General features: G+C 40.9%; 2 protein-coding genes across 6 annotated transcripts in view, besides 5 other annotated features; one reads left to right on the forward strand and one right to left on the reverse strand.

Moving 5' to 3' along the window:
- TSTD2 (thiosulfate sulfurtransferase like domain containing 2) overlaps positions 1 to 8,967 on the reverse strand; it is a 33,289-nt gene extending 24,322 nt beyond the window's left edge. Inside the window, exons 1-3 of the mRNA NM_139246.5 lie at positions 8,842 to 8,967; positions 2,997 to 3,211; positions 1,280 to 1,596 (exon numbers count right to left, since the gene is read on the reverse strand). Coding sequence (NP_640339.4) covers positions 1,280 to 1,596; positions 2,997 to 3,161 — 482 coding nt within the window. The 5' untranslated portion in view covers positions 3,162 to 3,211; positions 8,842 to 8,967. The remainder of the gene's footprint in view (positions 1 to 1,279; positions 1,597 to 2,996; positions 3,212 to 8,841) is intronic.
- Positions 8,888 to 9,217: an enhancer, noted in NCBI's record as "active region_28672". NCBI's record gives its function as "activates an Ori minimal core promoter by ATAC-STARR-seq in GM12878 lymphoblastoid cells {active_cell/tissue: GM12878}" and the evidence as "EXISTENCE:reporter gene assay evidence [ECO:0000049][PMID:35858748]".
- Positions 8,888 to 9,280: a biological region, named in NCBI's record as "Sharpr-MPRA regulatory region 9871".
- Positions 8,986 to 9,280: an enhancer, noted in NCBI's record as "tiled region #9871; HepG2 Activating DNase matched - State 1:Tss, and K562 Activating DNase unmatched - State 1:Tss". NCBI's record gives its function as "activates a minimal TATA promoter and a strong SV40 promoter by Sharpr-MPRA in HepG2 cells, with weaker activation in K562 cells {active_cell/tissue: HepG2 | K562}" and the evidence as "EXISTENCE:reporter gene assay evidence [ECO:0000049][PMID:27701403]".
- The window catches only part of NCBP1 (nuclear cap binding protein subunit 1), a 39,928-nt gene continuing 34,508 nt past the window's right edge, over positions 9,420 to 14,839 (forward strand). For all 5 annotated transcript variants that reach the window (NM_001351504.2, NM_001351506.2, NM_002486.5 and 2 more), the window contains exon 1: positions 9,420 to 9,514. Coding sequence is in view for 1 of the 5 variants with exons in the window: in NM_002486.5 (NP_002477.1) it covers positions 9,481 to 9,514 (34 nt within the window). In the remaining 4 variants the exon portion in view is untranslated. The remainder of the gene's footprint in view (positions 9,515 to 14,839) is intronic.
- Positions 9,445 to 10,280: an enhancer, noted in NCBI's record as "H3K27ac hESC enhancer chr9:100396128-100396963 (GRCh37/hg19 assembly coordinates)". NCBI's record gives its function as "activates a minimal SCP1, AML or CMV promoter by ChIP-STARR-seq in naive H9 embryonic stem cells {active_cell/tissue: H9 hESC(naive)}" and the evidence as "EXISTENCE:reporter gene assay evidence [ECO:0000049][PMID:30033119]".
- Positions 9,838 to 9,917: an enhancer, noted in NCBI's record as "active region_28673". NCBI's record gives its function as "activates an Ori minimal core promoter by ATAC-STARR-seq in GM12878 lymphoblastoid cells {active_cell/tissue: GM12878}" and the evidence as "EXISTENCE:reporter gene assay evidence [ECO:0000049][PMID:35858748]".

Genomic DNA, 14,839 nt, shown 5'->3' on the forward strand with positions numbered 1-14,839 from the left:
GAACCTGGAAACAGATTTACTGGCCCCAGTCAAGCAATGAGATGACTGCAAGTTCATGAGAGACTCTGAGCTAGTAACACCAACTATGCTGCTGTAAGCTGAATTTGGTACATAGCAATAATACAGAGAGTTTGGATCTAGAATTAGAAGAGAGGGAGGAGAGGTAACAGAAGAGTAAGTCTGAGCCGTCTTAGTAAAAAGACAAACTTTTATACCTTGGCATCCTACTTAAGTTCATCCTGATGGCATTAAAGCACTCACAAAAAGTTCAATCACATTCACTATACTCTGTTTAATTATGCAATTAAAGAAGAGTCTAATGCAGTTTGAAAGACTCCAGAAAAAAAAAAAGGTTAAATCAAAGAAAGTTTAGATGCTTTAAAATGTAAGCTACATTTACCTGCTTTCTTAAAAATTCCCTATGTGCAATGCTACATTCCCCAATAAACCTAGTAAATGATGCATTTTTCTGGATACGTATATTTGAAATCATACAGATAATGATATCTAGCTTAAAAGAAACCCCCCCTTTTTTTTGCTTAGTTTTTCCTGCCCTATTTATTTAAAAATGTTTAAAGCATGGCACAGTTTACAAGTGAAATACACAGATCTTAAGTGTAAAGTTTGATCATTTTTGACACAAGTATACCTGTGTAATCCACACCACTATCAAAACCAGAACATTTCCAATACCTCAAAAAATCTCTTGTGTATTCCCAAACTTTCTGCCAGAACCTTTCTATCATCATATATTAGTTTTGCCTTCAAGTACATGAAATCAGAAAATATGTATTGTCTGGCTATTTTCACTCAGCATAAGGATTTTCTCATTCACCCATATACGTTCTTGAATATTAGCAGTTCATAGCACTTTATTGTCGTGCAATATTCTTACATGACTATACCAGTTTATTCATTCTCCTGTTGATGGATATTTGCAGTTGTTTCCAGTTTTTTGTTATTATGAATAAAACTGCTATGAGCATTCTTGTACAAGGCTTTCTGTGGATATGTTTTTATTGCTGTTGGTATTATACCCAGGAGTGGGCCACAGGAACGATGCATGTTTAAGAAATTGCCGAACACTTTTCCAAAGTGGTTGTGCCATATTACATTCCCACCAACAGTGACTGGGTGTTCCAGTTGTTCCACATCCTCATTTCACATTTGACACAGTTGGTCTTTCTCACTTTAGCCATTTTAATGGGTGAATTGTAGTATCTCATTGTGGTTGGAAAAATACTTTAAATCAAACCAAAATACAGAATGAAAATCTTACCTTATCAGCTCATCAGGGTTAAAGCAGCTTATATCAGGGAGCCAAGCAGACACGTCATGGCTATGTGGAAGGCACTCTTTTAAAGGGTTCTTTTCATCTGCAGACGAAAGACTCTTTGAGGTGCTCAATGTCACAGCCAGTTGCTTTAAAATAGAAGCTGTCTGGTGATAAATTTCATCAGCATGTTGTGTTGCCACATGTCTATGGATGCTGGTTTGGTCTGTGAATAGCTGCCGACAGCATTTCCACAATTTTTCTTTACATTCAAAACTCCTTTTTGTTGGAACTTCTTTGGTTTTGACAAAAAGGGCAAAGGCCTGCAATTAGATTTCAAATGCTAACACTGTTAAATAACCTTAGGTTTATGGCTAATAGAAGTCTCACTAAGATTCTTTAGATTATCTTTCCACAGGGGCTTCTAGTTTTATGTTCCATTATGTTATACAATTCTCTGAGAAGTAACACTTCTCTTATTAGTAAGCTTTAGAAGAGACTATTAGAGAAATTAAAACTAGGCTTTATATTGAGGAGGTTAAATAACTCTCAGCATCATAATTTTATTCTCAGGATATAAGACTAAGTCACACTGGAAAATACATAATACAGTTTGGCCTAAAATATCACAAATAACACTATTAGTTATTTTCGAAAGGAATATGGAAAGTAAATTATGAAGTATGCTTACCATGGAATATTAAGCAGCCAGTTTTAAGTTATATGGAAAAATATTTTATGATATAATATTAAGTGAAAAAAATTGGATAAAATTGCTTATGCAATGTAATCTTAACCACATTAAAAAGTACATTGAAAAAGACCAGGAAGAAACGTACCAAAATATCTTCCTTCTTGGAAAATAATATTACTGTTTTTATAAAAATTACTTATGCTTATTGTAAAACAATCAAACAGAAAATTCTCTTAACCAGTTACCAACTGATGAACATTTAGATTGTTTCTAATATTTGCAATTAAAAGCCATGTTGAATGAGCATTCCATGCATCTATCTTTCTATATCTTTAACCACCTACTTAGAATATCTAAAATAAAAATTGAGGGGTCAAAGAACATGAAATTTTAATCTGTAATAGTGACTTCCAGGAAAAATGTACCAATTTATACTCTAACCAGAAAAGCATGTGGGTGCCATTTTATCCATAGCCTCACTGAGTTCTATCAGTATTTTTTATCATCAATATTTTTAATGTTGGTCCAAATAAAAGGCAAAAGAAATGCTACCCTATTTTTTTTTTTAATATTTTTGATTAGTAGTAATGCTGAATACTTTTTCCTGCTTAATCTATTTGTTTATTTCTGGCTTGCCTGTTCAAATCTGTTGCCTATTTTTCCATTATAGCATTTATCTTCTTACTGATACGTGTTTTTAGTGATCTTTTGTTGATCATAATTACCAACTTTTTTCTTCACTTGTCATTTGGTTTTCAACTTTGTTTATGGTCTTTTTTGACCTGGGGGGTGGGGAATGAAATCTAATCCATCTGTCTAGGATCCACCCTCCTCAAGTACTCCACCATGGCTATTCCAGGACCACACCTTGCCTATGATTACCCTTTGCCTGGGATGGAATTAACATCACTGGTTAATGTTCCTGACTAGACTTTACCTTGAGCTGGAGAGCAACCTTGATAACCGACTTCCAAATGTATCTGCGTTAACCACACATACATGATCATGAAACATTCATAAGAATTCTACCTTTTTCTTTGCAAACGAGTATTTCTTTTTTGTACTGCCATCTAATTCTGCTTTAAGACTGCTGCTGGGATTAATAAGACTCATATCTTTTAAATCCAGGTCAGAAAATCTTAAAATGCAGTTCTCCAGGTCATCTCCTTGGTCTGGTGAAGTGGAAGAAGGCATCTGGTTTGGTTGCAACAGTGAAGCAGATATTCCTTTCAGTTAAATACCTCCTAGAATATAAATAAGAAAGAAGCAGCCATGCTATTCTTTGATTTCTTGAAGAAAATATGAAGCTAATCAATCACGCAAATCAGCATGGGCAAAGTAGCCCAAGCTAACCATCCATTTACTTACTAAATCAATAGTATTTACTTAGGAACGACTCGAAGTCAAGCACTATTCTAAGCACTGAGAATATAGCAGTAAACGAAAGTGAAAAAGTTTCTGCCTGCTTAGAGTTTACATTCCAGTGGGGTGAAGTAAACAAGTGGATAAATTGATTTTTTATTTTTAAAGTCAGATGGTGTAAAGGTTATGAAGAATAATCAGCAGGGTAGGGAGGCAGTGATGGAGAAGCCCTTCGAACACAGAGAGTAGGAAAAGCCTTTCTGCAGCAATAGCATTTGAGCAGAAACCTGAATTAGGGAGCGAGCCATGCAGTCATTAGGGTAAATAATACCAGAAAAGCAACAGGTACAACCCAAATCAATCAAGATGTGTGCCAGCACCTTCAGTTATAAACACTTTCTTCTTTTTGCCCCTTAATTTCAGAGCTATGAAAATTTCCTTCCTTAGAAGAAATAGTTCCCAAGACAGCCCCACTGTAATATGCCAGAAGAAATGTCAAAATCGCTACTGTGGCCAAATCTTGTCAAAATGGACACACTACAACCATCATACCATGTTGGTTCTTTTGTAAAGCAAAGGTGACAGGTGACAAGCACTAAGAGGCACACTGAGAAAAAGTATGGGCTTTGGTTTGTGCTGCAGCAGTTTGCCAAGCATGTGAACATGGGCAAGCTACTTAAGGTTTCTGAGTTCTAAATCTCTCTTGTGGAAATTGTGCATTGTAGTATCTACATTACAGTACTGTACTGTAGACTGGAAAGAAATATTAATATATAGTGTCTGGCACAAACTAGGGTTCAATGAATGGTAATATTATTAATATTTTAATTGAATGCTGTATTTTAAATTTAACATTAAAATTTTATTTAAAAATTAGCTGTGACAGATTATATTTTCCAAAAATGGCTGCAGCAGTATTTCTGGTCCATTTCCCTAAGCCTAGGCAGGCTTGTTAACTACTCCCAAAAATAAAGCGTGATGGAAGCAATGCTGTATGACTGAGGTTGGGTTCTCAAAAGGATACGCTAGTGCAAGCTCTCATTCTGAGATGCTCACGCTGAGGAGACCAAACCACTGTATTGTGAGTAAGCCAATCCAACCCATGCAGAGACCACACACAGAGAACCAGGTGGAGAGGAACAGAGGCCTCCAGCTGACAGCCAGCATCAACCACTAGACCCTTCAGATTCCAGATTGGCCTCTGAGCTGAGAGCAGAGACAAGGTGTCCCTGTTGTGCCCTGTCCAAATTCCTGCCCCACAACATAACAACTGGTTATTTCATATTACTAGTGAACTGGCAAAGTTAGTTTCTTCAGGACAATATTGAAGGAGGCAGCCAGAGGTGGACACTGAAGGTTCTGAAAATAGTAACATGCAAAGTAGTCCCAAACTCCACAAGAGGGAGCAGAAAAAGCACCACTAAGAATGAGAGAAAGGAAGGTGGGAGACACTGGTGACAAACTTTGCCAATTCACAACTCTGCCTACAGGGTACCTCAACCAGGTGAAGGCAACAAGGAGCAGTTTATGTGTGGGGGAACACACACTGCTTGTTAACAATGCTGGATAGGACTGATGGAGACTAAACATACACAGACACACACAGGCAATACCAACTTTCTTATAAAGGACCTTTGTTCCTTGGATTCATAAATTAAGATGTCACTTGCACCACATAAAATGCATTTGAATCAGCTAAGTGGTGCTTTCATGGGGCTCAAAATGAGCTTTGTTATAAGGGTAAGGCAAGGTAATACAGATTTATTAAACCTAAATTCTCTTGTATTTGAAAAATAAGTGGAAGAGACTGGGTGAAGAAATACTACCTTCTTTAGCTTCTCTTTCCTTTCTCATGAAAATGTCTTTCATATAAAGTCCCACTGAAAAAAGTACATCCCTAACTCTACACAAACCTGTAAGCCTTCCAGGCAGAAGTAAAATAAGTAGAAGAATCTTATTCAACACACTTCCTCCATGCTCAAAGCTGTTTTATTGTAAAGGTAGAGAAAGTACATATATCATTTCCAAATTAAAATTCATTCAACAAATATTTATGGAGGGTCTTCTAGGTTCCAGGCATTGTTCTAGAAACAGATAACTTATTTACCTATAAGGGCAGTACATTTGGGAGGTAACATTGTCGAAAGGAATTACTATCCAATCCGGTCCCACCTCCAGCATCTTTTCCAATCTCCCTCTATATGACCTGATGTAGTCTGTCCCAGCATTTATGCTTTCCACTGCTTTGTTTCCCTTACTTTTTCACTTCTTTCCCTCCCCATATGCTTACTATGTATATGAAGACTGAACTCAAGTGTCACCTTTCACTTATGTCTTGTCTGCTACCCTGTGTCACTGCTTCCTTTGAAGGCCTGAAAAACTTAGTTTCCCTATACTCTAGGCTCATCTCTGACTATGCTCCCCATTCCCCATCAGATATCCTACTCTAGCCACACTGGACCATGCCCAGTTCCACAAATGAGCCATGTTCTTTCCTGACTCAAGGTCTCTGCACCTGAGTGTGGGGTGCCTTTCCCACCACCCCAAAATGATCTCCTCCGACTCTGCATCTTTTTTCAGTCTCAGCTTATTTTGATTTATGTACATACTCTGAATTATTATTATTTGTGGCACCTCTGCTATGTGCCGGGCCCATGGAATAGTCCTGGGAATGCAGCTATGAATGAAACAGTTGAAGTACCTGCTCTCTTGGAGCTTATATTCTGGTAAGGAGAGACATTAAGTAAGTAATAAACAAACAAACAAACAAACAAACAAATCATGAAAATACCAGCTAGGGATAACGGCCCCTGCTTCTCAGTTTCCTTTGCTGGATCTTCCTTATTACCCCAACCTCTAAATGTTGAACCACTCTATCTATACTTACCCTACAGGTGATCTCATCTACTTCCAAGGACTTAAAACTATATTTGCCTCAAAATAATTGAGAGAGAGGAGGTAATATCAATGAAACCAGATTACCCATGAATTAAGAATTACTGAAGTTGATGATGAGTACATGGGGTTTCATCATAAATTTTCCCTACTTCTGTAAATATTTGAAAATTACATGAGAAAAGAAAAAAGGGAAACATAAAGGAAATTTTCTGTTTAGAATACTATATAATAAATGACTCCATATTTATATCTTCAACCTGGGCCTTTCTCCCAAACTACAAATTCATATACCCCACTGTGTGTGAATTTTACACTGTGTGTGAAGCCAGCTAGCTTCAGCTTCAAATACAACTGTTCAAAACCAAACTTTCGTCTTCCCCAGTCTTCCTTATCTGAGTAAAAGACAATTTTATTCTTCCTGTTATTCAGACAAAAAAAACTTTGGGATGATTCCTGACTCCTTATTTTCTCACACTATCATTCACTTGTTCAGAAAATACTTTTTTTTGAGACGGTTTTCGTTCTGTCACCAGGCTGGAGTGCAGTGGGGTGATCTCGGCTCACTGCAACCTCCGCCTCCCAGGTTCAAGCGATTCTCCTGCCTCAGCCTCCCGAGTAGCTGGGAGTACAGCTGCACGCCACCACACGCAGCTAATTTTTGTATTTTTTTTTTTAGTAGAGACAGGGTTTCACCATGTTGGCCAGGATGGTCTCAATCTCCAGACCTTGTGATCCACCCACCTCGGACTCCCAAAGTGCTAGGATTACAGGGGTGAGCCACCATGCCTGGCCAGCTTTGCTTTTGAAGTACAATCCAATCAGATCACTTTGCACCACCATCTTTACTACCACCCTAGTTCAAGCTACTATCATTTGCAGCTAGAATTACTGCAAAAGCTGAACTATCTTCCTCCTTTGGGAGCATGAGAAGTAACTATTAAAAAAATAAGTCAGACTGGCCCTGCACAGAGGCTCATGCCTGTAATCTCAGCACTTTGGGAGGCCAGGAGTTCAAGACCAGCCTGGCCAACATGGCGAAACCCCATCTCTACTAAAAATATACAAATTAGCCTGGTGTGGTGGCGCATGTCTGTAATTGCCGCTACTTGGGTGGCTAAGGCACAAGAATTGCCTGAACCTAAAAGGCAGAGGTTACAACGAGCCAAGACCGTGCCACTGCACTCCAGCCTGGGCAACAGAGCGAGACCCTGTCTCAAAAAAAAAAAATCATACTCCAATGACTTCTCAATTCACTTGGATAATGTCCAAAGTCCTCACAGAGCACCTTCCCCCTACCTCTCTGATCTCATCTACCACTCTCCCGTTGCTCACTACCTATGATGGCACTATTTGTGGGTATTCCTGAATGGGTCGTTAGAATATATCAGCGCCAAGAGAGCAGGGGTTTTCCTTTGTTCACCTCTACATCCTCAGCATTCAGAACTCTGCCTGGCACCTAGGAGGTGCTAAATGCTAATAAATATAATATTCGTTGAATGAAATAAAACAGTGATTGGGTAACCAAAGAAGGCCTCACTAAGGACCTGACATTTGAGCTGAGACCTAAGTGACCAAGAGCCAGCCACGCAGATTTAGAACCAGAGACCTTCAGGTAAAGGAAATAGTATAAGTTCCTAAAATAAGAACAAGCTTGACTTATTGTAAGAACAGAAAGAGTGGTTGGAGTACAGTGAGGAGAAGTAGAACCCCACAGGCCATGGCATGGAGTGTGCAATGGAAAGTCGTAGGAGACTTTTTTTTTTTGACACGGTCTCACTTTGTTGCCCAGGCTGGAGTGCAGTGTGCGATCACCGCTCACTGCATTCTCGACCTCCTGGGCTCAAGGGATCCTCCCACCTCGGCCCCCAACCCTCCCCTCGAGTAACTGGGACTACAGGCGCCAAACACTAGGCTCAGCTAATTTTTTTTTTTTTCCTGTAAAGACGGTGTTCGCCTTGTTGCCCAGGTGGGTCTTGAACTCCTAGGCTCAAGCGGATCCGCCCGCGTCGGCCTCCCATAAGTGTTAGGATTACAAGCGTTAGCTACCCCGCCCGGCCGTCATAGGAGACTTTTAAACAAAGCAGTAACACGATCTGATTCTGGATTTGTGTTGAAAGCAGAGCAGGCAGGGTTTACAGATAATTGTTATGTAAAAAGAGGGAAAAGAGCTAAGAAAGACTCTAAATTTTTGGATTAAGCGGCCGACGGATGACGTCATTTACTGAAATGGGTAAGACCGAAGGAGAATTAGGCCGGGAGAGTGAAATTTCAGATGGCCATGGACAAAGCAGATAAGCCAGTATGGTGCTCATAAAGACATCAGGGGAGGGGACGCTCACACACAGGCATATAGGTACCCAATAACCCTTGAAAACAGATTACTAAAACAATCATTTGTTCCTTCCTAAGCAAACAACTTAAGGAAAATGACGGCCAGCCGGCAAGCCCGGAGCCGCACGCTCGCGTCAGGGCCGGCCTTTCCATACCAAGGGGCGGCACGTGCGGCACCGCCTCCCGCCCAGGCCCCACCCCGCATGCCGAGCTTGGCCCAACCTCTCCTCCCACTTTTCCCAAGGCGGCAAAAGCCGGAAAGTGGGAGTAGATGAGCACATACCCGCCAGTCCTGATCCTTTCTAAGGTCTCTCTTCCCTGCACTGTCTCCGCCTAGCAATTGTCACTGCTCACCGCCCTCGAGCCTATTCCCCCGCCGCGTATTTGGGTAGAAAAGCTCGCTCGTGACGTCACCAAGCTCCGGAAGTCTCCTGGCGTCGGCGCAAGGGCCGCCGGGAAAACCATTGAGAGGCCACCGGGAAACCATTGAGAAGCCCCGGAGGACCGGCCTGAGCGGAGGCGGAGACTAGAGCGGCCGCCGGCACGACCCGCCTTCAGGCGTACGACGACCGCGGCCCGGGGGCTCTGAGTGGCCAAAGCGGCGGCACTTTCTGCGTGGCCCCGGAAGGACATAGAGCGGAAGGCGGGAGAAAGAAGTAGCCGGCAGGCGGAGGCAGCCCGAGGGGGCGGTTGCATGTGTGCCAGACGTTCGTAGCCCACTGAGCTTCCTCACGCCGGCTGTCGCAGCGCCTAGCCCCACCCGGCGGCCTCTCCTGCGCTTCCGGGGCCGTGGCGAGCTAGTGCGCCTGCGTGCCGGCCCATCCGCGCGCCTTGCAGCTGTCCTTGCGTCGGCCAGCGGCCAGACAGTTCCTGCAGCGCTTACCGCCTGGCCTCTCGGTTCCGCGGCGCACCGGAGGGCAGCATGTCGCGGCGGCGGCACAGCGACGAGAACGACGGTGAGTGCCTGCGGCCCGGCCACGGAGGCCGCTCCCGGTTGGGAGCCGAGGCTCGGCGTCTTTGGGTGTCCACGGAAGAGACTGGAAGCTCTTCTCCCCGGGAACGTGCGGGGAGCCGCGGAGGGAAAGAGGAGAATATGGTGGCGGTGTGGTCGGGCGGCTTCTAGAAAGCGACTTCTCCCCCGCCCCAGTTCTTTGAGTCAAGGGCCGATCCTCGGGAAAGAAGGCCTGGTGAACCCCATGGGTAGACCCTTGGTCTCTAAGGATGCTTCAGAATTTCGTCCGTAAAACCACGGAGCAGGGAAGCACACCTGTGTCTGTGCTGCCGCCTCTTAGGGACCCACTGGTCCTAGTGTCTCGTTTTAACCTTCAAAGCTGCACCTGAAAAGGGCTCGGAAGAATTCACTGAAGGAAAGGACTGAGAGATCTCATGAGTTGCAGTCTGAACTCTGTTCCGGTAGTGGTTATCCGTTGATTTCACTTCTTTCAAGCTGCAGGGAAAGAATATTGTCTTACCTGCGCCCAAGAGGTCCCTAATAAACAGACACAGGTTACTGCAGATTTTGAACTGGCCGTAAGCGCATTTCCCTTGTGTGAGAGAGAGTGCTAGAAAACTAACTTCAGGCCTCTGAGAGAGTTAGAACAGGGGTTCCCATCTCCGTTTGGATGATTGTGCTCGTGGAGATCAGTGTTGCCTTCATAAAGATGGAATAATTCTAGTTTTAACAACAACAAAAAAAAGATGCTTATATTACACATAAGCCTTACAATCGGTCAAAAACACAAATCCACACACCAAAAAAGTAAAACTTAGAGTAATTCTATTGTTAACATTTTAGTGTATTGTTTTTTGAAGAGAGTGTATAGTAGTGGTTAAGAGATGAGACTTTGGAACCAGAGGGTTTAGGTTCAAAGCCAGACCCTACCATTTACTTGGTGATCTTGTCCAGGTTATGAAATCTCCTTAAACTTTAGTCTGTAATACAGAAGTAATGATATTTATATCTTCTGGTTTTTGTGAAGGTTAAATGAGGTAATACACATCAGCAACAATGATGTTTTATCATTTGCCAACGCTTAAGAGGCGGTAAACGTTAGCAGATGCTGTCAATGTAAGAAAAAAACCCATAACAGACATTTTAAATTGAGTAAATTTTATCTACTAACGTTTGTCTCTCCTTGAGTGTTGTGGCAGTTGAGGTGGAGGCAGAATCGCATGCATTTAGTTTTAATAGTGAAACACCAGATTTCTACGAAGGAATGGCTTGAGAGGATATTCTAGTCCAGCTTTCTATCTGACACCTAAGGGTCTAGAGACTGAGCATAACTAAGATGGAGGGACAGCTGTCAGTTCCCAAACACCAGCAAGAGCGAATCCAGTCCGGGGCTCTCTTCACTACACAGGTATAAATTAAATAACTATGCTGCGTGCTTTGATTTCTAACACGAGGTTTCTTGTGTAACCTCTGTACAAGGCACAGAAAATACAATTCCCTCCCTTTTTTTTTTTTTTCTGAGACGGAGTGTCATTCTTTGTCAGGCTGGAGTGCAGTGGCGCGATCTCGGCTTACTGCAACCTCCGCCTCTCAGGCTCAAGTGATCCTCCCACCTCAGCCTCCTAAGTAACTGGGACCACAGGCGCGGGCCACCACGCCCGGCTAATTTTTTTTTTGTTTTTGTATTTTTTGTAGAGACGGGGTTTCGCCACGTTGCCCAGGCTGATCTTGAACTCCTGAGCTCAGGTGATCCACCCGCCTCGGCCTTCCAAAGTGCCGGGATTACAGATGTGAGCTACTGCGCCCGCCGATAATACAATTTTCATATGCTTTGTAATTGACTAGTCAAAAACTAATATACTTCTCAAGTCATTACTTGGGGGCTGGAGAACTTGAGTCTTTTGTTCTTTTCTTTGTTGTTCTAATGCTTCCTTTTTCTCACTTAGAGGTAATCCCTAAAGAGAGAGGAAATGTCATTGTAGGGCATCCTAGAGAATTGGAATGCTAATATGTAGAAAAATAACTTTTGCTTTGGTTATTGGGAGACTTACATAACTTTCTTGGAGTTGGCTTGTTTTTAACACCAGCTGGCAGCCAAATCACTGTCCATTTGGGTCTTGCCGCGAGAACCTCAGAGTAAATAAGACAAGTAAAACAAAGCATTCATTAAGCAAAGGTTTTTATGGTTGATATTTTAGTGTGGGAGAGGCAGATACAATTCATGTTTGATAATACAGCAAATCTGAAATTTTTGTCAGTTGCCACAATTTGGATAACGATCGCTGGAGTTTACCCTACACAGTGATCTGAATCAGATTATTTTGGATGCTTTCCTTTTAGTTAAAAATCTATTTTTTAAAAAATAAATCTTAGAAGCTTAAGGATTATAGAAGGCTATTTTAAAATAGGGTAGGAATTATTACAGTCAGAATTAAATAGATGCATCTGAGCATTTCTGGACAATTGTCAGCTGCTGTCAGTCACTGCCCTGACTTTCCGTATGCTTGACTCTCTATATATAGAGTGTGTGTATATATATAAACTATAATAGAATGTATTATATATATTTATATATTATATAAATTTATATTTATATATTATAAATTTATATTTATATATTATATAAGTTTGTTTATTATAAGTTTTATATAAATATATACTCTAATATATATTTTACATATAATTATATACTGTATATATAGAAGCAAGCATATGGAAAGTAATACATATATATATATATATATATATATATATATATATATAAAATCATTTATTCAACAAATACTTAACAGTGCCAAGCTCTGTCCTAATTACTTGCCATACAGCAGTGGACAATATAAAGATAGAGCCTCCCCTCTAGAGTAGAGAGAAGACAGTCAAGTAAAGTATAGTGTATCATATAGTGACAGGCGCTATGGAGTGATACCAGGTAAAGAGGGGAGAGATTTCTGTGAGGGAGAAGTTACTATTTTATGTAAGTTGATTAGAGAAGGCTTCGGTGTGAATGGCATTTGAACAAAGACTTGCCGGAGGTAAGGTAGCAGCCATATAGCTGTATGGGGAAAAGCTGTGATCCAAAGGTAACCATGGGCACAAAAGCCTGAAGACTATAGGGTTCCTGTCATGTTAACAGAAGAGCAAGGAGGCCAGTGGTGCTGGAGCAGAGTGAGTGAGGGGGAAGTTGTAGGAGATAAGATTAGAGAGATAGCAGAGGGTTGCATCTTATAGGGAGATTATAAAATTATACTTCTGTGTTGAGACTCGACTATCAAAGATTAAGGGGGGTAGGATTAGGAGGCTATACCAATGAAGTTCATGTAGTAGTCCATTTATAAACAAGGAAAAGGAAATGCTAAATGGAAAGTAATGTGTATGGATACTAGTCCAGTGCTAAATCTTAACTAATTGCTTAGACTTGCTTTAAAAATGTCTCTGAAGCTTTTTAGTTACTATGGGATATGCAGTCCATTGTTTGTTCTTTTAAGAAAGTATTTAGATTGTTCAAAATCTTAGCTAGAAACAATACGAATACAATTTTGGGAATTTGGGCAATTTACAAAAATTTCAGATTTGCTGTATTAGCCCCATTTAAGCTTCTTAGAATTAGGTCCTTGTCTTTTGGACTGTGGCTGATTTTTTTACTTAACTAAAGAAAAAAATAGAAGTGAAAGGATTTGTTATTTTGAGAGAGTATAGTTTATTTCAGAAGTGATGGTTGCCTGTTTTAAGTCTGCGGGCTCAAGGCATGTTATCTTTCAAGTTGTTCAATATCAAAATAGATGAGCCAAAAAGAAGGGAACAGTGTGCTTAAGGTTTAAAAACGTAATGTTGAAGTTGTTGGTTTTAGTTACTTTACTTTTCTATTTTACAGGGTTGGTTTTTGTTTTCCATTTTGTGGGTCTAAAATTTCTTGTAAGGCTATAAGATGTACAGTGTACCCGTATAAAATTAGGATTGACTTATAGAGGGGAAATTTATTTGGTTTATTAAGATCCTTTCAGATGGATTTTATACCTGCTTCTCTATACTAGCCAAGTCTGTCTGAGTGAAGTGGTAATGTTATCTTTAATTTACATTTTAAAACTTTTACATAGTTAAATTTTAATAAAAAATCTGTTCTTGCCTTGGGAACTACCATAGATACGTTTTCTTCAGGGTACATTGAGCGAATTCCCCAAATTGTATTCGTATTGTTTTATTTCATTTCCCTGTTCCCTTACCCAGGTTGTCTTATGAGTTCAATATCATGTTTCTGTTCGTAAGTTCAGATTTTGTCTGTAGTCTTCACCCCTTTATAGTCTCTCAACTATCAGGTGAAAGTGGAACATTTCTTACCTCTTAATACTTTCTGCCTCCTCCCATTCTCCAGACAAATATTGTCCTTTAATATAGCCAAAATGAACAAAGGGTTTGCAGTTCAGAGATGTGACTATGTACATGTATTTTCTAGTTGTTTCTCAGAAATCATACCTTCTCTTCCCACAGCACTATTTTCCCCTTTTCAAGCTTATAAGAGGGCCTAGGAGGGTTGCTTTAAAGGCTGTGGTATGATTCCAAACTGGAACAAGCCAGCTGGAAAGTTAAGTTAGGAAGACTGTAGAGGTGGAATAAAGGGTTGGCAAAATAGATGAGCCAGAAAGAAGGGAACAGTGTGCTTAAGGTTTAAAAAACAGCAACAAAAAATAACTGCTCTCATTCAGCTAGTTTTTCAGCATCTGCATTCTCCCAACCTCACTGAAATTTGGTTCTGAGGAGCTCTGCTTTCTAGAATACGGTTTCTTAACATCAGCACTATTGACATTCTTGGCCAGTTATTTGTTTTGGGAGATGCCCTATGCAACGTGAGATATTTAGCAGCATGCCTGGCCCCTACCCACTAGATGCCAGTTGCTTCCCCTAGTTTTGACTACTAAAAATGTCTCCAAGGTTTGCCAGATGACCACTGGGGGCAAAATCTACACCCTGTTGAGAACTACTGCTGTAGAAGAAGGCTATTTGAATGTCCTAGCTGGCAGCTTGCGTAAATATTACATCAATTATGCTTTTTTTCAATAAGTGAATCCTGGAAATGAAAGACCTTTGTGTGAAATTTGGCACTTTGGGTGGTGGAACCTTGATAGGTCCTGTGACTTAGGTTTGATCTATACTTAAGAATCAAGGTCCCTGAACCTCTGTGCCACACATGTCTACAACTTTACACAGGCAGATATCTCCAGGAATAAATACATCTCAGCTCTCATGCTGCATGCGTATTATACTTTTTGTGGCATTATCCTTTCAAAATTATAGTCAGTGGACATTCAGTCAGGTTATCATGGTAATTAATGGG

Source organism: Homo sapiens, chromosome 9, assembly GCF_000001405.40.
Source record: "Homo sapiens chromosome 9, GRCh38.p14 Primary Assembly".
NCBI classification, from domain to species: Eukaryota; Metazoa; Chordata; class Mammalia; order Primates; family Hominidae; genus Homo; species Homo sapiens.